This window comes from Homo sapiens, chromosome 13 (assembly GCF_000001405.40).
Source record: "Homo sapiens chromosome 13, GRCh38.p14 Primary Assembly".
NCBI lineage: Eukaryota > Metazoa > Chordata > Mammalia > Primates > Hominidae > Homo > Homo sapiens.
Genome location: NC_000013.11, coordinates 30,246,533 through 30,269,656, shown reverse-complemented (window position 1 = coordinate 30,269,656; position 23,124 = coordinate 30,246,533). Strand labels below are relative to the sequence as shown.

Below are 23,124 nucleotides of genomic sequence, written 5' to 3'. Positions count from 1 at the left end.
CCAGACGATGGGCGGCCAGGCAGAGGCGCTCCTCACTTCCTAGATGGGATGGCGGCCGGGCAGAGACGCTCCTCACTTTCCAGACTGGGCAGCCAGGCAGAGGGGCTCCTCACGTCCCAGACGATGGGCAGCCAGGCAGAGACGCTCCTCACTTCCTAGACGGGGTGGCGGCCGGGCAGAGACTGCAATCTCGGCACTTTGGGTGGCCAAGGCAGGCGGAGGTTGTAGCGAGCCGAGATCACGCCACTGCACTCCAGCCTGGGCACCATTGAGCACTGAGTGAACCAGACTCCGTCTGCAATCCCGGCACCTCGGGAGGCCGAGGCTGGTGGATCACTCGCGGTTAGGAGCTGGAGACCAGCCCGGCCAACACAGCGAAACCCCGTCTCCACCAAAAAAATACGAAAACCAGTCAGGCGTGGCTGCGTGCGCCTGCAATCGCAGGCACTCAGCAGGCTGAGGCAGGAGAATCAGGCAGGGAGGTTGCAGTGGGCCGAGATGGCAGCAGTACAGTCCAGCTTCGGCTCGGCATCAGAGGGAGACCATGGAAAGAGAGGGAGAGAGAGACCGTGGGGAGAGGGGGAGGGGGAGAGGGAGAGGGAGCAGCTTTATTTTTCTTTATAGTACTCATTGTCACCTGATATTATTATATTATATATTATACTATATTGTGTGTGTGTTACCATTCCTGCTAGATTGTAAGCTTTGTAAGGTCAGGGCCTTTTATTTGTTTGCTGCTTTACCCCCAGCACCAAGAATATTGCCTGCCACAGTGTAAGTATTCAGTAAGTATTTGTTGAAAGAATGAGTAAGTAGAATGCTTATTTAGGTTTATTCATGCGTTTGCCAATGGTTTTGTTTACCATTTCTTGCATTTCACTATTTCTAGATTCAGTTTCATCTTTGCTGAAGAATAGTAGTTTTTACAGCCAAGGTCTCTATTAGTGGTAAACTAACAGTTCTTTTCTCAAAATATCTGTATTTTCCTGTCACTCTTACATGATATTTTAGTATAAAATACTAGTTTGGTAGTTAGTCTCTATGCTTTGAAGATGACATTAGTAATAGTATTTTGTCTTCTGGCTTGTGTTATTAGTCTGTTTGTTGTTTGTTTATAGGTAACTTTTTTTCTCATTGGTTTTAAGGTTTTTTCTGTCTTTGTGTTAAACAGTGTCACTGTGAATTATTTAAATGTAGATTTATTTTTATTTATACTACTTAAGACTTGTGCATCTTTTGCTCGAAAATTTTTAAATGCTTCTGATCATATTAAACATATTTATTTTGTAGTCTATAGCTGGCAGTTCTCTTATCAAAGTTATTGAGAGTCATCTTGCTTTTTGTTATTTCTGGTGAGCCTTGTTTGTGGTAAAGTTGAGAATGTTTCTTCAGTAAGGGTTTAACAAGTCATTTCAATATGTGGCTTGTTTGGAAGAAGTTGTCACTCCTGAGACATCTGTGTTTGCTTCAGCCAGGTGCCTTAGGGATGTTACCTGCGTAGGCCCACTTTTAGGCCCACTTTCTCTGCTTAAGGTAGTGTAAAATTGAGTCATAAATCACATGAGGATGGGCCCTTTGCTACTATATCTAGGGGGCACTTTCGCTTCACTCCACAAATGTAGAACATAGACCCAAGTAGAAAAATGTACTTTTATTTCTTCTGTCTTTAAAATTCTACGCTTTTACCAAGGTGGTTGTCCTTTGAGGGTCCTGGCTTTATGTGGTAGTCTCAATTCAACTTCTTTGACTTGTGTGGGGCTACGACCCTGTCTCAGATCTCACTTGTGTCAATAAATCTCCAGCCCTCGGATGTCTGAGGCCCAAAACACTGAAGGACTGCCATGTCTTTAGCTCATGTGCTTCTATTTCTCTCTCTCTCTTTCTTGGCTGTTAGGTATTTCACTTACCTTATGGTAAGATCAGCTATGTATGTAAAAGGATATTGGTTACATTTTACTTAGAATTCCTGCATGTTTTATTGTGGGAAGGTTTTCAGCTTATTTATTTTTGTTGTCACTGCATATTATTTTTGTAGTTCTATTATCAGTTCTTGAGGGGCTTATCTTACAATTTGTTTTCTTTGTGTGACTTGTTTATATTTGAGTTGAGGACTCTTCTTCAGCAAGGCTTTAGTTGTAGGGTTTATGTGAACAGAAAGAGATGTCTAGTATAATTGTAAAATATGTATGTACATTCAGCTAAATTATAGGCTTGGTGAATGCTGGCAGTATGTCACATGCTTTTAGTATCCACTTGGTTTTATAAATCAGTAGAATAATCTCAGAAGTTGACGATAAACTGGACAAAGACCTGTGAGAATTTATCTAAAGTTCAACTGACACTATTTTATTATCTGTAGAGTAGAAGTTGTATAGTCCTGATAATATGAAAAAATATCATTGTTCGTCAAGTTTTAAAGTCTTTAGAGTTAGGCAAAAAATAAATTAAGTATCTTAGGTTTTTCAAGTTCAGAGATTTTTAGAATTTAATGGTAAAGGCAACGACCTATCTGTGGAGCCAAAGAAAAGCAAGATACAGGCAGTGATTAACTTGCCTGGGAATGATGGAATTCCATCATTAGTGAAAGGTTTAGTAGTTTTCACACCCCTTGCCCCACTCTCAAAATGATTGAATGAATGGCTTAGCAACTCTAAATAAGATTTAGTATGGCTCATCCGAAACACTGACAAGAATCCACTCAATATCCCAGCTTAAATAACTGTTGTGGGTAACATCAAAATGCTAGGAATCCAACCCCCAACATATTAAATGGGATTGTATAATTTTTGGTGTGAGAAGTATGTCTGTACCTCCAGATCTTAAACCATCTGAAATTTCTGGTTTACTATTACCTTGGTTAAGTTGGATGATAAGTGTTTTCTGTAGTAGTTAAGCAGATCTTTTAACTCCAGGGAGATTTAAAATTAAGGCTAGGCATGTCTAAGAGGATAAAAACTGGTAATATTTTTCTGTTAAAGGATATGTGTATATTTGCATATTTATTTTTTATGTATTTGGAATATTTAAGAAAATGGGCTAATGAGGGTGACATGCATGCAATTCCACTTTAAATGTATTATGGAATGATTTAGACTTGTGATTTTTTTCATGCATGAAAATGCATGTTAAGTACTTTATTGGAACTCTTAGGAGAAATTTAATATTATCTTATTTGTAAACTTAATTTATTATGTTTATAAAAGTAATTATATGTAAATTATGCTTTACTAAGTAAGGCAAGAACTAAGAAGAAAATATATTAAATTTATAAATGTTGGTTACAAAATTGTGGTGGCATTTTATTAACCAGGTTTGTAATTGGGACCAAGCATTATTTTAACATCTCTTAAAAGCGGGCCAGGTGCAGTGGCTCACCCCTGTAATCCCAGCACTTTGGGAGGCCGAGGTGGGCGGATCACTTGAGGACAGGAGTTCAAGACCAGCTTGGCCCACATGGTGAAACCCTGTCTCCACAAAAATACAGAAATTAGCTGGGCATAGTGGCACATTCCTGTAATCCCAGCTGAGGCAGAAGAATCGCTTGAACCTGGGAGGTAGAGGTTGCAGTGAGCTGAGAGTGGGCCACTGCACTCCAGCCTGGGTGGCAGAGTGAGTGAGACTTTTTTTTTTTTTTTTTTTTTTTTGAGATGGAGTTTCATTCATCTTGCCCAGGCTGGAGTGCAGTGGCACAAACTCGGCTCATGGCAACCTCCACCTCCTGGGTTCAAGCAATTCTCCTGCCCCCGCCTCTCAAGTAGCTGGGATTATAGGCACGTGCCACCATGCCTGGCAAATTTTTTGTATTTTTAGTAGAGACGGAGTTTCCCCATGTTGGGCAGGCTGGTCTCGAACTCCTGACCTCAGGTGATCTGCCCGCCTCAGCCTCCCAAAGTGCTGGGATTACAGGTGTGAGCCACCACGCCTGGCCAAGAGACTGATTTAAAAAAAAAAAAAATCTCTTAAAAGGGACTTCTAAAATCTGCTAGGCTCATAAGTAGAAAAAAAAACTAGCTGAATCTGAAAGCTTTAAGGAAAAACTTATTTTTTGCATAGTTAAATTTAATAAGTTGAATATTTTAAAAATCAAAGTAAGCCTCTGAAGAGTATTCTCTGCACAAAAAGCACCCTTGAGGATACAAAACAACTCATATCAACTTGTATCATAACGTTGTCTGTGGTGCTCAATATATTTCTGAATGTGATTGATTTGCTTAGATAATGAGGGAATGCTTTTTTTTCTTTTTTTTTAATTTTTTTATTTTTTATTTTTTAAATTTATTATTATTATACTTTAAATTTTAGGGTACATGTGCACAATGTGCAGGTTAGTTACATATGTATACATATGCCATGCTGGTGCGCTGCACCCACTAACTCGTCATCTAGCGTTAGGTATATCTCCCAATGCTATCCCTCCCCCGTCCCCCCACCCCACAACAGTCCCCAGAGTGTGATGTTCCCCTTCCTGTGTCCATGTGTTCTCATTGTTCAATTCCCACCTATGAGTGAGAATATGCGGTGTTTGGTTTTTTGTTCTTGCGATAGTTTACTGAGAATGATGATTTCCAATTTCATCCATGTCCCTACAAGGGACGTGAACTCATCATTTTTTATGGCTGCATAGTATTCCATGGTGTATATGTGCCACATTTTCTTAATCCAGTCTATCATTGTTGGACATTTGGGTTGGTTCCAAGTCTTTGCTATTGTGAATAATGCCGCAATAAACATACATGTGCATGTGTCTTTATAGCAGCATGATTTATAGTCCTTTGGGTATATACCCAGTAATGGGATGGCTGGGTCAAATGGTATTTCTAGTTCTAGATCCCTGAGGAATCGCCACACTGACTTCCACAATGGTTGAACTAGTTTACAGTCCCACCAACAGTGTAAAAGTGTTCCTATTTCTCCACATCCTCTCCAGCACCTGTTGTTTCCTGACTTTTTAATGATTGCCATTCTAACTGGTGTGAGATGGTATCTCATTGTGGTTTTGATTTGCGTTTCTCTGATGGCCAGTGATGATGAGCATTTTTTCATGTGTTGTTTGGCTGCATAAATGTCTTCTTTTGAGAAGTGTCTGTTCATGTCCTTAACCCACTTTTTGATGGGGTTGTTTGTTTTTTTCTTGTAAATTTGAGTTCATTGTAGATTCTGGATATTAGCCCTTTGTCAGATGAGTAGGTTGTGAAAATTTTCTCCCATTTTGTAGGTTGCCTGTTCACTCTGATGGTAGTTTCTTTTGCTGTGCAGAAGCTCTTTAGTTTAATTAGATCCCATTTGTCAATTTTGTCTTTTGTTGCCATTGCTTTTGGTGTTTTAGACATGAAGTCCTTGCCCATGCCTATGTCCTGAATGGTAATGCCTAGGTTTTCTTCTAGGGTTTTTATGGTTTTAGGTCTAACATTTAAGTCTTTAATCCATCTTGAATTAATTTTTGTATAAGGTGTAAGGAAGGGATCCAGTTTCAGCTTTCTACATATGGCTAGCCAGTCTTCCCAGCACCATTTATTAAATAGGGAATCCTTTCCCCATTGCTTGTTTTTCTGAGGTTTGTCAAAGATCAGATAGTTGTAGATATGCGGCGTTATTTCTGAGGGCTCTGTTTTGTTCCGTTGATCTATATCTCTGTTTTGGTACCAGTACCATGCTGTTTTGGTTACTGTAGCCTTGTAGTATAGTTTGAAGTCAGGTAGTGTGATGCCTCCAGCTTTGTTCTTTTGGCTTAGGATTGACTTTGCGATGTGGGCTCTTTTTTGGTTCCATATGAACTTTAAAGTAGTTTTTTCCAATTCTGTGAAGAAAGTCATTGGTAGCTTGATGGGGATGGCATTGAATCTGTAAATTACCTTGGGCAGTATGGCCATTTTCACGATATTGATTCTTCCTACCCATGAGCATGGAATGTTCTTCCATTTGTTTGTATCCTCTTTTATTTCCTTGAGCAGTGGTTTGTAGTTCTCCTTGAAGAGGTCCTTCACATCCCTTGTAAGTTGGATTCCTAGGTATTTTATTCTCTTTGAAGCAATTGTGAATGGGAGTTCACTCATGATTTGGTTCTCTCATGATTTTGTCTGTTGTTGGTGTATAAGAATGCTTGTGATTTTTGTACATTGATTTTGTATACTGAGACTTTGCTGAAGTTGCTTATCAGCTTAAGGAGATTTTGGGCTGAGACGATGGGGTTTTCTAGATATACAATCATGTCGTCTGCAAACAGGGACAATTTGACTTCCTCTTTTCCTAATTGAATACCCTTTATTTCCTTCTCCTGCCTAATTGCCCTGGCCAGAACTTCCAACACTATGTTGAATAGGAGTGGTGAGAGAGGGCATCCCTGTCTTGTGCCCGTTTTCAAAGGGAATGCTTCCAGTTTTTGCCCATTCAGTATGATATTGGCTGTGAGTTTGTCATGAATAGCTCTTATTATTTTGAGATACGTCCCATCAATACCTAATTTATTGAGAGTTTTTAGCATGAAGCGTTGTTGAATTTTGTCAAAGGCCTTTTCTGCATCTATTGAGATAATCATGTGGTTTTTGTCTATGGTTCTGTTTATATGCTGGATTACATTTATTGATTTGTGTATATTGAACCAGCCTTGCATCCCAGGGATGAAGCCCACTTGATCATGGTGGATAAGCTTTTAGATGTACTGCTGGATTCGGTTTGCCAGTATTTTATTGAGGATTTTTGCATCAATGTTCATCAAGGATATTGGTCTGAAATTCTCTTTTTTGGGTGTGTCTCTGCCCGGCTTTGGTATCAGGATGATGCTGGCCTCATAAAATGAGTTAGGGAGGATTCCCTCTTTTTCTATTGATTGGAATAGTTTCAGAAGGAATGGTACCAGTTCCTCCTTGTACCTCTGGTAGAATTCGGCTGTGAATCCATCTGGTCCTGGACTCTTTTTGGTTGGTAAGCTATTGATTATTGCCACAATTTCAGCTCCTGTTATTGGTCTATTCAGAGATTCAACTTCTTCCTGGTTTAGTCTTGGGAGGGTGTATGTGTCGAGGAATTTATCCATTTCTTCTAGATTTTCTAGTTTATTTGCGTAGAGGTGTTTATAGTATTCTCTGATGGTAGTTTGTATTTCTGTGGGATCGGTGGTGATATCCCCTTTACCATTTTTTATTGCATCTATTTGATTCTTCTCTCTTTTCTTCTTTATCAGTCTTGCTAGCGGTCTATCCATTTTTTTGATCCTTTCAAAAAACCAGTTCCTGGATTCATTAATTTTTTGAAGGGTTTTTTGTGTCTCTATTTCCTTCAGTTCTGCTCTGATTTTAGTTATTTCTTGCCTTCTGCTGGCTTTTGAATGTGTTTGCTCTTGCTTTTCTAGTTCTTTTAATTGTGATGTTAGGGTGTCAATTTTGAATCTTTCCTGCTTTCTCTTGTGGGCATTTAGTGCTATAAATTTCCCTCTACACACTGCTTTGAATGCGTCCCAGAGATTCTGGTATGTTGTGTCTTTGTTCTCGTTGGTTTCAAAGAACATCTTTATTTCTGCCTTCATTTCGTTATGTACCCAGTAGTCATTCAGGAGCAGGTTGTTCAGTTTCCGTGTAGTTGAGCGGTTTTGAGTGAGATTCTTAATCCTGAGTTCTAGTTTGATTGCACTGTGGTCTGAGAGATAGTTTGTTATAATTTCTGTTCTTTTACATTTGATGAGGAGAACTTTACTTCCAAGTATGTGGTCAATTTTGGAATAGGTGTGGTGTGGTGCTGAAAAAAATGTATATTCTGTTGATTTGGGGTGGAGAGTTCTGTAGATGTCTATTAGGTCCGCTTGGTGCAGAGCTGAGTTCAATACCTGGGTATCCTTGTTGACTTTCTGTCTCGTTGATCTGTCTAATGTTGACAGTGGGGTGTTAAAGTCTCCCATTATTAATGTGTGGGAGTCTTAAGTCTCTTTGTAGGTCACTCAGGACTTGCTGTATGAATCTGGGTGCTCCTGTATTGGGTGCATATATATTTAGGATAGTTAGCTGTTCTTGTTGAATTGATCCCTTTACCATTATGTAATGGCCTTCTTTGTCTCTTTTGATCTTTGTTGGTTTAAAGTCTGTTTTATCAGAGACTAGGATTGCAACCCCTGCCTATTTTTGTTTTCCATTTGCTTGGTAGATCTTCCTCCATCCTTTTATTTTGAGCCTATGTGTGTCTCTGCACGTGAGATGGGTCTCCTGAATACAGCACACTGATGGGTCTTGACTCTATCCAATTTGCCAGTCTGTGTCTTTTAACTGGAGCATTTAGTCCATTTACATTGAAAGTTAATATTGTTATGTGTGAATTTGATCCTGTCATTATGATGTTAGCTGGTTATTTTGCTCGTTAGTTGATGCAGTTTCTTCCTAGTCTCGATGGTCTTTACATTTTGGCATGATTTTGCAGCGGCTGGTATCGGTTGTTCCTTTCCATGTTTAGTGCTTCCTTAAGGAGCTCTTTTAGGGCAGGCCTGGTGGTGACAAAATCTCTCAGCATTTGCTTGTCTGTAAAGTATTTTATTTCTCCCTCACTATGAAGCTTAGTTTGGCTGGATATGAAATTCTGGGTTGAAAATTATTTTCTTTAAGAATGTTGAATATTGGCCCCCACTCTCTTCTGGCTTGTAGAGTTTCTGCCGAGAGATCCGCTGTTAGTCTGATGGGCTTCCCTTTGTGGGTAACCCGACCTTTCTCTCTGGCTGCCCTTAACATTTTTTCCTTCATTTCAACTTTGGTGAATCTGACAATTATGTGTCTTGGAGTTGCTCTTCTCGAGGAGTATCTTTGTGGCGTTCTCTGTATTTCCTGAATCTGTATGTTGGCCTGCCTTGCTAGATTGGGGAAGTTCTCCTGGATGATATCCTGCAGAGTGTTTTCCAACTTGGTTCCATTCTCCCGTCACTTTCAGGTACACAAATCAGATGTAGATTTGGTCTTTTCACATAGTCCCATATTTCTTGGAGGCTTTGCTCATTTCTTTTTATCCTTTTTTCTCTAAATTTCCCTTCTCGCTTCATTTCATTCACTTCATCTTCCATCGCTGATACCCTTTCTTCCAGTTGATCTCATCGGCTCCTGAGGCTTCTGCATTCTTTGCGTAGTTCTCGAGCCTTGGTTTTCAGCTCCATCAGTTCCTTTAAGCACTTCTCTGTGTTGGTTATTCTAGTTATACATTCTTCTAAACTTTTTTCAAAGTTTTCAACTTCTTTGCCTTTGGTTTGAATTTCCCCCCATAGCTCAGAGTAATTTGATCGTCTGAAGCCTTCTCTCAGCTCATCAAAGTCATTCTCCGTCCAGCTTTGTTGCGTTGCTGGTGAGGAACTGCATTCCTTTGGAGGAGGAGAGGCACTCTGCTTTTTAGAGTTTCCAGTTTTTCTGCTCTGTTTTTTTCCCCATCTTTGTGGTTTTATCTACTTTTGGTCTTTGATGATGGTGATGTACAGATGGGTTTTTGGTGTGGATGTCCTTTCTGTTTGTTAGTTTTCCTTCTAACAGACAGGACCCTCAGCTGCAGGTCTGTTGGAGTACCCAGCCGTGTGAGGTGTCAGTCTGCCCCTGCTGGGGGGTACCTCCCAGTTAGGCTGCTGGGGGGTCGGGGTCAGGGACCCACTTGAGGAGGCAGTCTGCCTGTTCTCAGATCTCCAGCTGCGTGCTGGGAGAACCACTGCTCTCTTCAAAGCTGTGAGACAGGGATATTTAAGTCTGTAGAGGTTACTGCTGTCTTTTTGTTTGTCTGTGCCCTGCCCCCAGAGGTGGAGCCTACAGAGGCAGGCAGGCCTCCTTGAGTTGTGGTGGGCTCCACCCAGTTCGAGCTTCCCGGCTGCTTTGTTTACCTAAGCAAGCCTGGGCAATGGTGGGCGCCCCTCCCCCAGCCTTGCTGCTGCCTTGCAGTTTGATCTCAGACTGCTGTGCTAGCAATCAGCAAGACTCCGTGGGCATAGGACCCTCCGAGCCAGGTGCGGGATATAATCTCCTGGTGCCGCGTTTTTTAAGACCGTCAGAAAAGCGCAGCATTCAGGTGGGAGTGACCCGATTTTCCAGGTGCCGTCTGTCACCCCTTTCTTTGACTAGGAAAGGGAACTCCCTGACCCCTCGCTCTTCCCGAGTGAGGCAATGCCTTGCCCTGCTTCGGCTCGTGCACGGTGCGCACACCCACTGACCTGCGCCCACTGTCTGGCACTCCCTAGTGAGATGAACCCAGTACCTCAGATGGAAATGCAGAAATCACTGGTCTTTTGCGTCGCTCACACTGGGAGCTGTAGACCGGAGCTGTTCCTATTGGGCCATCTTGGCTCCTCCCCCCACTTTTTTTTTTTTCTTTGAGATGGAGCCTTGCTGTGTGGCCCAGGCTGGAATGCAGTGGCACGATCTCAACTCACTGCAACCTTTGCCTCTCAGATTCAAGTGATTCTCCTGCCTCAGCCTCCTGAGTAGCTGGGATTACAGGTGCCCACCGCCATGTACAGCTGATTTTTGTATTTTTAGTAGAGACAGGGTTTCGCCATGTTGGCATGGCTGGTCTGGAACTCCTGACCTGTAGTGATCTGCCTGTCTCGGCCTCCCAGAGTGCTGGGATTACAAGTGTGAGCCACTGTGTCCGACCCTTAATACAGCCTTTTACGTTGTATAGCATAGTGCCTTTCATTCATTAAGATTTAGCTATTTGTTGAAAGAATTAATAATATTTTAAAGATTCCTACTTACGATACTTGTTTATAATCTGATAGCAAATAATTAAAAAATTCTAAAGTCCTTTTTAGAACCAGAAGTTATCCTTAATGATTAAATTCTGGAAAGTTACTTGGTTTGTGAAGACACCACTGAAATTTAGTAGAAAAAGGTGGGTCCTATCAGTAAATGCTTCTGGGGTAATTGATTATCCATTTGGGTGAAAAAAAATCGAGATACTCTTCTTCCCCACCTCACGTCGTACAAAAATTAATATAAAATAACCAATACCTAAAATATTAAAAGTAATAAAGTAAAACTTCTAGAAGAAAACATGGGAGGGATATCATCATGATCTTGCGGTAGGCAAAGATTTATTAAACTGGCCACTAAAGCATTAAATATAAAATATTGATAAATTGGACTTACAGAATCATGACCTCTTTATCAAGAAAGATACCATTAAGAGAGGTAAAATACCTTTATAACAGACTTGCACCTGTACATGTACCCCTGAATCTAAAATAAAAGTTGAAAATAAAATGCAAAAATAAAGAAAAGAGCAAATCACACACTGGGAGAAGATATTTGCAAAGCATATATGTGACATAGGACTCGTATCTAGACTATATAAAGCAGTACCAATAACATTTACAAATAATATTGATATTTAATATAGCTTTGAAAGAGGAAGTATTGGATTTCGAAGGAGATGAGGCTTATTTGCATGTGATAGAATAAGGCATATTTCTTATTCCTATAGGGAAATCTCAAATAGGAGAATTGAACACAGCACAGATATTTTTGTCTTTCACCTGCAGATCTAACCAGTTATTCTCTAAATTTGAAGTGCCGTAAGCTAGTACTGTGTCAGTCTGTTTGACCATTAGAGCAGAGGTCAAGGATGCTATGTAATCCTACTAAAGTCTATTTTTACAGAGAGACTAGTAAAAGAAGCCTTGAGACCTTTATTGTTTACACAGCCTGGAAGCTGTCACTGAGTCCTTAAATTGAAGCATGACATTGTGCAGTGATGTGCTAGTGGACAAAGAAGTACAGAACAGAATCAAGGATGTCCTTTGGGAAGTCCACAGAGTCTGTTACAAATGTAATATCCAATTGCAGTGAGATGGAACTGAAGACTTACAAAGCAGAGGCACACTTCCTATGAGACAGGGGCCTTGCCACAAACGACACGTCTGGCTTCTTGAGCAGTTTCACTCAGACTATTTAGGAGCCCATCAGAATATTCAGTGGCAGAACAAGGTCAGTAATGGCAAACACTCAGAATGCAGCCTGTGTAAGAGCTTTGAACCAATTCTTCCACAATACAGCTTTACTGAGCGGGATTTGTGTGGAGAATGGACTACAGCAGGACTCCTAGGCGGCCATTGAATCGCAAGCTGAGGTGGGGAAAGCGCAAGCTGAGGAGGCAGAAGGAATGTTGTCTGAGACCTGCTGCAGTGCACCCTGAGCAGTGAGGTCACAGCAAGCCCAGCCATGGGCAAGCAGCCTGGCATCCAGCTGGGAGGGATGGGATTGCTGTTGGTGAGCAGAGGCTCTGGCTAGCTCTTGAGTCTAAAAAGCAGGACCACAAAGAAAACAGACTATTTAAATAGCAGGTGAAGCCGCTTACAAAAGAGCAAACTTGATGCAAATTCTGTGTGGAAAAGATTGTTGGTCTCATTTTATTGTCTTTGGCCATACCCATAAATCTGACTCAGGAAAGACATTTATATGTACACAAGTGTATACAAATAAAAGTAAAGTTTTACTCTATTACTTTCCACCCCTTCATCCAAAAAAAAAAAATTAGGTCAAAAAACAGTGGTCACATTGAAATACTAGAAATAGAGCAATTTAACAATTACAATTTTTTATTCTTTACCAGACTCGTCACATTTTTATTTTATAGGTAGAATGCTTAAAAGACTACTAATGTCCTAAAGATGATAATGTAATAATACTTTAAATTTTAAAATGCCTCATAGCCATTACTATGCACTATTTTGTAGTTGCTTTCCTGAGGATTTCTTTCACAAGATTGCTTGTCTTTGTCTCCTCCTAGGGTCAGTGTGGTAGAGGCCATATACCACCTAATGGGTGCCTCAGTAAATACTTGTTTAACTGGACTGAACTCCAAGGATTAAGATGTCAGTGTATGTTTACCTCATAGATAGACATACGGTTTTTGCCGGCCTTCTAGAAATTTCACGATGTAGTCTAATTCCAACATCTAAATATGCTGTATCAGACTCACAACATGTTAACACATTTTTTTTTCTTTTTTTTTCTTTTTCTTACTGTTTTGGCCCTTAGTTTGCAACCTTCATGGCTTTTTATCCATTTTCCTATCTTTGAATTATGCATATGTGTCACCTTTTCTGATATGAGGAACGGAACTCCATGATGAGTTAGGTGAATTATAAGTGTGAGGCTGGAAAGGGGATAATAATAGATATGGCATGTGGTTAAAAATGGAATACACATATGGGATCTAGAGGGCTACAGATACATACATAGCTATAGAAAGAGAAAAGGTAGGAAAACAGAGGTAGAGACATTTCAAGAGAGAACTAAGATTAGACACGAAGTGATAGAGTCCCTTTCCCAAGAATCAAAAAGAGACAAAAACTGTGCTGAGAAGCCTCAAAACTTTAATGTTTGCAGGAGACAAGTTCCACAGTAGATGAAACAAAATATGTTATTTTGCATGCATACTTATATGTATTTATCAAAATTTTTAATCACATTTGGAGGACTGTATAATTTGAATGATTCTGTGATTTTTAGACATTCTCAAAACATGAATATTTTAAAACATAATTACTTAAAGAAGATTTCATTGTTAGCTCTGCCATTTGTAATTTGATGAATGAAATGTTTAATTTTCCATTATAGAAGCAGAGAAAATCATCTTGGTTGTAAAACAGAAATTAGTAAACTGTACAAATAGACTTATTTAGAACTTCTGTCCTTACAGCTTTTAATGCTTTTTTCTAAAAAAAAGTTACTTATTCTTGGTTTAGGACAGTAATGAATAAAATTATTGCCTTTCCATTATGTTGTTAAGATTATTAGATAGGGATAGTCTGTGTTGCCCTCTATTGGTGATTAATAATTAACTTTTGACAGAATAATTGCTGCTTTATGTGTCATTTGTGTGTATTTAATAATTGTATCAGCCAGTATATTTTAGAAAAAAGAATTTGGGAAAACTAACCTAATAGTTGTGGCCATGAATTGGCCAAAGGTGAAAAAATTAGCTTTCGGGCTTTTTGATTTAACAATTTTATTGACTAAGATAGTATTGACATACTTTTGCCTTTGATTAATTTTAATTTTAATTTTAATTTTTTTTTTTTTTTTTTTGTCAGAGCTCCACCTCAGATCAGGCGTCCCAATCGAGAAGTAAGACCTCTGAGGAAAGAAATGGCAGGAGTAGGAGCCCGGGGACCTGTAGGCCGAGCACATCCTATATCAAAGAGTGAAAAGCCTTCTACAAGTAGGGACAAGGACTATAGAGCAAGAGGGAGAGATGACAAGGCAAGATGCTGTCTTTCTGTAATTCACTCACTTGAAGCCCAGGACTTTTGGTGGATGTTATGATTTTTGTTGGCTTTTCAAGATACCCTGGTTTTGACGTGGAAGAGTTAGAAAAAAGTCTCATTCAAAGCCTAAGTAGTCTTTGTATTTTGAAGGCCATGCTGCAATGCAAATCACCTCAGAGGCGTAGTAAATATCTATATACACATACATGTATAAAAATATTTAGTGAAATGGATCCCTTGTAAGAAAAAATACGGCTTTAAAACTTTTTTGAAAAATATTTTAATAAGTATTCTGAATAGAAATGAGCAATAAATGAAAATAGTTATGGGGAAAGACAAGAAGGTAGATGTATCTGTTCACAGAATAAGATGAGGGATATGATTTACTACTGCCAAAAATAAGTATCTTTGATTTATCTGTAGATTATAGTAGAACAAGATTTTTTTTCTTTTCCTTGAGAAGATTCCCCTTGCTTAGGGTTCATTGTGCACACGTACTTATTTAGGAAATTGATTGGTGAATAAACATAGTATTCGGTGGAAATTGTACTTCCCTTAAAATGGACTTAGGACAGTGGGTTGAAGATAATCTTACAGATTAAGGAGGTAGCCAGGATGATCTGATGTGTCTCTTAGGCCTTAATTTTAGTAAAAAGAGAAAAATTTTTAAGTGATAGTATTTCCTGTTTCCACCGTGATGTCATAAATGAATGATAATGTAATCAAATTGCCACAGAAAAGTTTTATTTTACTAGTTAGAGATTCAGGATCTGTCATCACATTCAGGCCATGATATGTATAATAAAGATATATCTAATAACAAGTGGTTATCCATCAAAACTGTATTTGAATATTTTTATTACGTGTAATTTTGATCTGTAGGTAAGGACTCCAGACCAACTTCCTAGGTCTTATAGCCATAATACATAGACCAAGATAGAATAAAATTGGTGTTTTCTGAATATTTCTATTTATGAGATAGTTCAAAGACATATTCTACCTCCCTGCCTCAATAGGACACTGAAAATGAATTAGATTTTTTTAATGTTTGTAGTTTGTGGGAGCTTTTATGCCATGAAACAGCAAGTGATTCTATTTCAGATCCTTTTTGGGATTAGTGAAGGGTAGTAATAAATACATTAACTTTTAAAATTTGTTCCCTCCATTATCAAAAGCCACATAAATGGATACTTGAAACTCTTTATCTTAAATATTATTTTTGTTTCTTTTCTTCATTTTTATGCAGCTAACATTGGTTTGCATTATAGAGAATACAGTACCGGCTGAAATCCAACCTCCAGTTTGCTAGTAGCTTTTAGATAAACCTTTAGAACAGGGTAAGGAACTTTCAGTCTTGAATTTACATAAGAGAAACCATGGTGACGGTTTACTGGATGCTGCTTTGCTGGGCACCGTTCAAAGTGATTAAACAGTAATTCATGAAGCAATCCCGTGAAGTAGGTGTCTTACTATCCCGACTTTACAGATGAAGAAACTGTGGTACAGAGCGCTAAAACTTGCCAGCGTCTCACAGTGAGACATGGATACTGGAAGAATGGAATTTGTGAAGTCACACATCTTTTTCCTGTTTAACCTTAAGATTTTTCATGTTATGTAGTTCCCCACCTACCAAGCTAGATGAAAAGTCTGGATTGGATTTACCAAAAGAGATCCAGAACAATTAAATGTTGGTTTTTAAATGTGACTCTTAAGCAAAGAACAAAATAATCAAGCAGCATTTTTTGAATGTCAAATACATTTTTTTTTTTTTTTTTTTTTGAGATGGAGTCTCGCTCTTGCCCAGGCTGGAGTGCAGTGGCACAACCTCAGCTCACTGCAGGCTCCACCTCCCAGGTTCACGTCATTCTCCTGCCTCAGCCTCCCAAGTAGCTGGGACTACAGGCACCCGCTACCATGCCCGGCTAATTTTTTTTGTATTTTTAGTGGAGGCGTTGTTTCACCATGTTAGCCAGGATGGTCAATACATTTTTTTTCCTGGAAATTATAAATTGTCTTTCATTTATAATGTTATCAAATGATTTTCTAAATCTTAGTTATTCTTTCATTGACATGTAAGTACTCAGAATGTCACTAGAAAGTAACCCTTTTATGTAAGAAAAGAAAAGAACTCCGCAGTTGTTTGGAGATAAAAGATATGTTCTGAGTCACTGTGGAAACAGAGGGGACTACAGTTTTTCAAAACAAACTCATGCAAACTTCATAAGCCTTTGAAAGGTATATTTGACTCAGTTACAATTTTTGTAACCACACAAATATTCATTAGGATACTGAAGTTCCTGAAACTCACTGAAGGCTGCGATAGGTTTTGAGGCAGCTTAGGTGAAACTAATAGATACCCACTTCTGCTAAAAGCTCATTTGAAAATGAGTGTTGGGGCCAGGGGCAGTGGCTCACGCCTGTAATCCCAGCACTTTGGGAGGCCAAGGCAGGTGAATCACTTTAGCCCAGGAGTTCAAGACCAGCCTGGGCAACATAGTGTAACCCCGTCTCTACTAAAAACACAAAAATTAGCTGGGTGTGGTGGTGCATGCCTGTAATCCCAGCTACTTGGGAGGCTGAGGCATGAGAATCGCTTGAACCTGGGAGGGAGGCAGAGGTTGCAGTGAGCTGAGATCCAGCCACTGCACTCCAGCTTGGGCAACAGAGCGAGACTTGGTCTCAAAAAAAAAAAAAAGAAAGGAAAATTAGTGTTGTTTGGAAGTACCCTCAGAGATATGGGAGTCCCCAGTGTTTATTGTATTTGTTTTTCTTAAGATCAGTTTTGTGTATTGCTGCCAGCTTTAAAATTGAAGCAGAGTAGAACAGAAAACTCAGTTTATTGCCCATAAGTACAGTATTATTTTGATAAAAATATATACAAATTTATTCATATGTTTATGTACACCAGCTCATGATCCAGAATGCATTTATTACTTTGTGCCTGGGTCAGAATTTTGAAAGCTGCTGCAGCACTCTAACTATGTACTTAACTTTATAGATGTAAAAAAAATTGAGGATAAGAGAAGTTAGACATATCTTGCTTAAGGTCCCTGGTATATTTTTGGATTTTTAATTTGGTGTTGGGAACTGTATGATGGAACAACTAATAATAGCAGTAGTAGCAAATGTTAGTCTTCCTTGAGCGCACTTATCCTTTTTGAAGCTTTCTACAAAAAAAGCCCGCTTTGAAGCTTTTTACATTTATTGGTTTATTTGATCCCTGCATAATCCTGTGAGCTCAGCATTATTTTTCCTGTTTTATGTGTAGAGAAATTGAGACACTGAAGTCTTAACTGCAAATAGATGGTGAACTAGGATTTGAACCTTGTCTATGTGTAATACCTGAGTTTTTTAATCATTATGCTATACAGACTCTTATTTGAAAATGCTTACTGTCTTCTTATAATAATACGAGTTTATTTTCTGAGACTGATTATGTCTTTTTTCTTTTTCTTTTTTAAAATTACTGACAGGCTTCAGGTTAGATCCAAGCTTAAAATGCTGTTTTTCAGTAAGTAACAATCACTTTGCATAGTGATCTATTGTTGAGGCTTTATCATTTTCCCCCCTGAGGTCTACAGGGTCATCCATAAGGCTAGTTAGTACTCTGTTTATTGGACACATCTTTATTAAGTGCACATTTGTGTCAGTAATACTTCTAGGTGCTAGAAATACAAACGTTAATGAAATGTAGCTCCTGGCCTGAATAAATTAACTTTTAAGCTATATTTTTTCTGTTTTATTTCAGTGTGTCTGGTCTCTTCCTACTATGACAAAATAGCTTACACAGGGTAATTTAGAAGGAGTAGAAATTTATTTCTCACAGTTTTGGAGGCTGGGAAGTCTAAAATCAAGCCACTAGCAGATTTGGTATCTGCTGAGGGTCTGTTCCTTCTAGATGGCACCTTCTTATGTGTCCTTACAGGATGGAAGGGGCCAACAGGCTCCCTTGGGAATCTTTTATTAGGGCACTAATTCTGTTCATGAGGGCAGAAGCCTCATTGACCTAACCACCTTCCAAAAACCCTGTCTCCTAATAACATCACATTGGGGCTTAGATACCAACATGAATTTTGGAAGGACACAAACATTTAGACCATAGCACCTGGGAAAATCGGATTTATTATTATTTTGCTATTTAAGCTTAGAGTCAGATATATACATAGAAGTAACGAAAGGATTTTTTTTACTTAAGAAGGATAATCTAAAAGTAAAATATTAGGTAGCAGAAGAAATGTTTTTGTTTTGTAACCTTAATTTATAAAACTCTGATTCTCAAGTATTTTTTTTTTTTTTTTTTTTGAGGCAGAGTCTTGCTCTGTCGCCCAGAGACTGGAGTGCAGTGGCGCGATCTCGGCTCGCTGCAAGCTCTGCCTCCTGGGTTCACACCATTCTCCTGCCTCAGCCTCCCGAGTAGCTGGGACTACAGGCGGCCGCCACCACGCCCAGCTATTTTTTTGTACTTTTAGTAGAGATGGGGTTTCACCGTGTTATCCAGGATGGTCTCGATCTCCTGACCTCGTGATCCGCCCGCCTCGGCCTCCCGAAGTGCTGGGATTACAGGCGTGAACCACTGCGCCCAGCCAAGTATTTTTAAGATTATAGTTTTATGGTTAATTAACTCAGTGAAATGAGCAGTACTTCCATTATCTCATGATTAAAGCTATATATGCTTCTAAATAGAATTCAGATTAAAGTATGGCAAATTATATTCTCTGAATTCATTTTAAAGTTGTTAAAGGACTTTATTTCATTAAATTGTGCATAACAAATGGCCATTTATCATGAGAAGACTTTCCTTCTCATGAGTAAGTCTAGGGATATCTGATATGGAGAGATGTTGCAAACTAGATTGACATATTCTTTTGAGAGCTATTGATTGATTATACAAATGAACAGTGACTTCATAGAAAATATTTCTACTGAAGAAAAGTGCACAAATTGTATACTTTTTTGATGAATAATGATAATCTAGCCAGTGGTGTATATTAGTAACTACTTTTATGAAAAAAAGGTGTATGTGTGTATACACATTAAAGAATAAGATGATAATGAAACAATAAAAACATGCTAGAGCTTTACTCATTGATCAATGACTTGAGCAGTTTTCAAATACTGGAAGAATAATCAGATTTTTTATGCTATTTACAGTGTAACAACAGCAAAAATGACATGCTTTTAAGTTTAGTCTGCATTATTAACATTTTCCCCATTACTTTTCTAAATCTAGACAGTCAGGAAAACAATAAATCAAGCCCTGATTTATAGCATTTGCTAATTCTGTGATATAAATACCACCTGTATGATGGATTTCAACATCATGTCACTGAACTCATAGTTGAGATGAGTTTGGGTAGCAGCCTACCATTCTATGGTGTTTCCACCATAGAGATACAATAAACTATGGAACCTCAAGATAATAGGTAATAGTAAAATAATTAGGATGTGAGGAGTTTTGCGTATTTATTTCCTTTTTTAAAAATACAACTTATTCAAAGTTTGTGTAATTTAATATTTATTAATGGCTGCATTTCACGGCTGGCTCACAAAATTTCTGAAAATTTAGTAGCTGGCTCTCAAAAACTAGTAAGAAACAACTTCAGCATCTCACTGCATGTAAGCCTTGTAATTCAATGTAACCATCAGCTCTGGGGTCAAGAAATCGAACATTTGGCACCTCAGAAGCCATATTCATGATCCCTCCCAATCCTTGCCACTTACCTCTTTCCCAAAGGTAACCACTGTTCTGATTTCTAATGCCATAAATTAATTATGCCCATTTTGGAACTTTATGTACAGTAAGTATTCTTTTGTGTCCAGCTTTTTTTGTTCAAGGTGTATTTGTGAGATTATTTCATGGTGTTGTATATATTTGTAGTTTATTTTCATTGTCATATAGTAGTATATCACAGTTAAAATCTGTTTTCTTATTAATGGATATTTGGGTTGCTTTTAGCTTGAGACTCTTGTGAGTAATGCTGCTTTGGATGGTTTTCTGCTTATCCTTTGACATATATATGCATGAATTTCTAGTGAGCATATACCTAGGAGTGGAACTGCTGGGTCATAGGATATGCATAAATTAAACTAGGGAAGAACACCAGTTTCCAAAGTGGTTATACAAGTTTTCCCTCTTACCTACAGAGGGGAAGTTTCAGTTGCTCCACATCCTTGTCAACACTTGATGTTGTCAGTCTTTTTTTTTTTTTGAGACAGAATTTCGCTCTTGTCGCCTAGGTTGGAGTTCAATGGTGCAATCTGGGCTCACTGCAACCTCCGCCTCCCAGGTTCAAGCAATTCTCCTGCCTCAGCCTTCCAAGTAGCTGGGATTACAGGCATCTGCCACCACAGCCGGCTAATTTTTGTAATTTTTTTTTTTTTTTGAGACGGAGTCTCGCTCTGTTGCCCAGGCTGGAGTGCAGTGGCACCATCTGGGCTCACTGCAAGCTCCGCCTCCTGCGTTCACGCCATTCTCCTGCCTCAGCCTCCTGAGTAGCTGGGAATACAGGTGCCCACCACCACGCCCGGCTAATTTTTTGTATTTTTGGTAGAGATGGGGTTTCACTGTGTTAGCCAGGATGGTCTTGATCTCCTGACCTCGTGATCCACCCGTCTCGGCCTCCCAAAGTGCTGGGATTACAGGCGTGAGCCCCCGCACCTGGCCAATTTTTGTATTATTAGTAGAGATGGGGTTTCACCACGTTGGCCAGGCTGGTCTCGAACTCCTGACCTCAGGTGATCCACCTGCCTTGGCCTCCCAAAGTGCTGGGAATCCAGGCGTGAGCCATTGCGCCCGGCGTTGTCAGTCTTTTTTAGGTATAATCATATCTCATTGTGATTTTCCCAGGATATTTGCCATGTGGTGTGTATTTACCTGATAATTTATGAAGTTGAAAACCTTTTCATATGTTCATTGGCTATTTGTATCATCATGACTTGTTTTTAAGAAACATCTTTTTCTGTCCTTTGAATATTAAGTTGCTCCACAAATTTTGTCTCTGGTGGTAGCTAATTTATAGTGCTGGGTTTTGTTTTTATTTTTTTTACCTTGTTGTACTAGATTATAGTAAAGTAGTTTTTATATCTAAATAACTATTTGACCAAACTTGTGATTTAGAATTCTAAACCCATTTGTGGAAATATGTGCTATTCTGGTTTTTTACTCACCCACCGTTGTTTTTTTCCTGTGCAAATGTCAGCTTAGTCTTTGACAGGGATGAGTCTTAGGTCATAGGAAGAGTTGCATTCAAATATTTTAACCTCTTATTCAGAAGACTAATACACATACTTTTCTTAGACTGAACAGTCTTTCTGTATTTCAGCCTTGCCAAGTGAGAGTGCTTTAGCTTCTTGATTTTAGAATTTGTATATCCTTATTGAACTATCTTAAGTTTCCCACTTTCAAGGCTGTCTTAATAGGAGTGCATGAGCTCTTATTTAATGTGGTATTTGGTATTTCTTATATGGTAAGATTAAATGTGGGGCCTTAATAGCCGTATATGTTTTTTCTTATCCTCTCTCAGACTCTACCACTCATTTTAGCCATTCTGTATACTACAGAAAGTGTAAAATAAAACATGAGAGAACACACTGTCCCTGGCTTGTTGGCATCAGAGCAGCCAGAGAGTTCCTCTTAAATATAGGTCAGATTGTGTCTTCTGCTCATAACTTTCAGTGGCTTCTTATCTTAGATTAAATGCCAAGTCCTTATAATGGTCTACAAGGCTCTGCATAGTCTGGCATCCATTTCTTCTTTGACCTCATCTTCTTTCTCCCCTCCTCTCATTTCTTTCTGTTGGTTTCTGTGTTGTTCCTCAGATTTGTGAAGTATATGCTGACTGTGGCAAATTTGAACTTGCTGTTCTGTCTCTGTTTTACTATATATTTTACTTATTAATATATTGTGCCTCCTAACTTGAGTATATGCCTCATGAGGGCAGGGGTTTCTGTTTGGTTCACTGCGATATCCTCAGTGCTTAGAATAGTGCTTGGCACATAGTACTGGCAAATATTGTTGAAAGAACATACGTATTGATAGGTGTGCAGAATGATATGGATTCATAATTTCAATTTAAATGTATTAACACTCAAATGCAGGGCATGATACTGAAATTAGTAAGCACTGTTTGCATTTATTAACTTATTTTACTTTGTAAAATAAAGTCTTAAGAGTGGGATGCAATTTAGAAACCTTGTCTAACTTTTTCCTTTGTTGTTTCTCACACTGGGGTAAGAGTAGCCCAGGGGTGTGCAGCAGTATGCTAGGGTACAAAGTGGTTGAAAGCACTGATTCTGGAGCTGTATTCCCTAGGATCTAGCTGCGTGTCCTTGGGCAATTTACTTACCTTTTCTGTGCCTTGGTTTTCTCATCTATGAGATGGAAATAATAAGAGTACCTACCTCATAGGACTTTTAGGATTAATAAGAGAGTTAATATATATCCAGTGCTTAGAACAATACGTGGCACATTGTGTAGGCAGTATATGAGTTTTAGTTATCATTGTAACATGAAAGTGGGGAACTAACACAGATATGAAATAGAATTCAAAATCACTTTTTAAAAAAAGAAATAATTGCCATTCTAATTGTGTGAGATGGTATCTCATTGTGGTTTTGATTTGCATTTCTCTAATGACCAGTGATGATGAACTTTTTTCATGTTTGTTGGCCACATAAATATCTTCTTTTGAGAAGTGTCTGTTCATATCCTTTGCCCACTTTTTGATGGGGTTATTTGTGTTTTTTTCTTGTAAATTTAAGTTCCTTGTGGATTGTGGATATTATTAGCCCTTTGTCAGATGGATAGATTGCAAAAATTGTCTCCCATTCTGTAGGTTGCCTGTTTGCTCTGATGATAGTTTCTTTTGCTGTGCAGAAGCTCTTTAGTTTAATTAGATCCCATTTGTCAA

General features: G+C 38.8%; 1 protein-coding gene across 8 annotated transcripts in view, besides 1 other annotated feature; it reads left to right on the top strand.

Moving 5' to 3' along the window:
- KATNAL1 (katanin catalytic subunit A1 like 1) overlaps positions 1–23,124 on the top strand; it is a 104,922-nt gene that overhangs the window by 37,895 nt on the left and 43,903 nt on the right. For 6 of the 8 annotated variants that reach the window (NM_032116.5, NM_001014380.3, XM_024449424.2 and 3 more), the window contains exon 4: positions 14,042–14,210. The exons of 1 other annotated variant lie outside the window; for it this stretch is intronic. In NM_032116.5, the coding sequence (NP_115492.1) occupies positions 14,042–14,210 (169 nt within the window). Of the gene's footprint in view, positions 1–14,041; positions 14,211–16,181; positions 16,451–17,688; positions 17,727–23,124 lie in introns of those variants that run through there. One more of the 8 variants, XM_017020793.3, reaches the window with a different exon arrangement.
- Positions 11,633–12,133: an enhancer, noted in NCBI's record as "H3K4me1 hESC enhancer chr13:30831661-30832161 (GRCh37/hg19 assembly coordinates)". NCBI's record gives its function as "activates a minimal SCP1, AML or CMV promoter by ChIP-STARR-seq in naive H9 embryonic stem cells {active_cell/tissue: H9 hESC(naive)}" and the evidence as "EXISTENCE:reporter gene assay evidence [ECO:0000049][PMID:30033119]".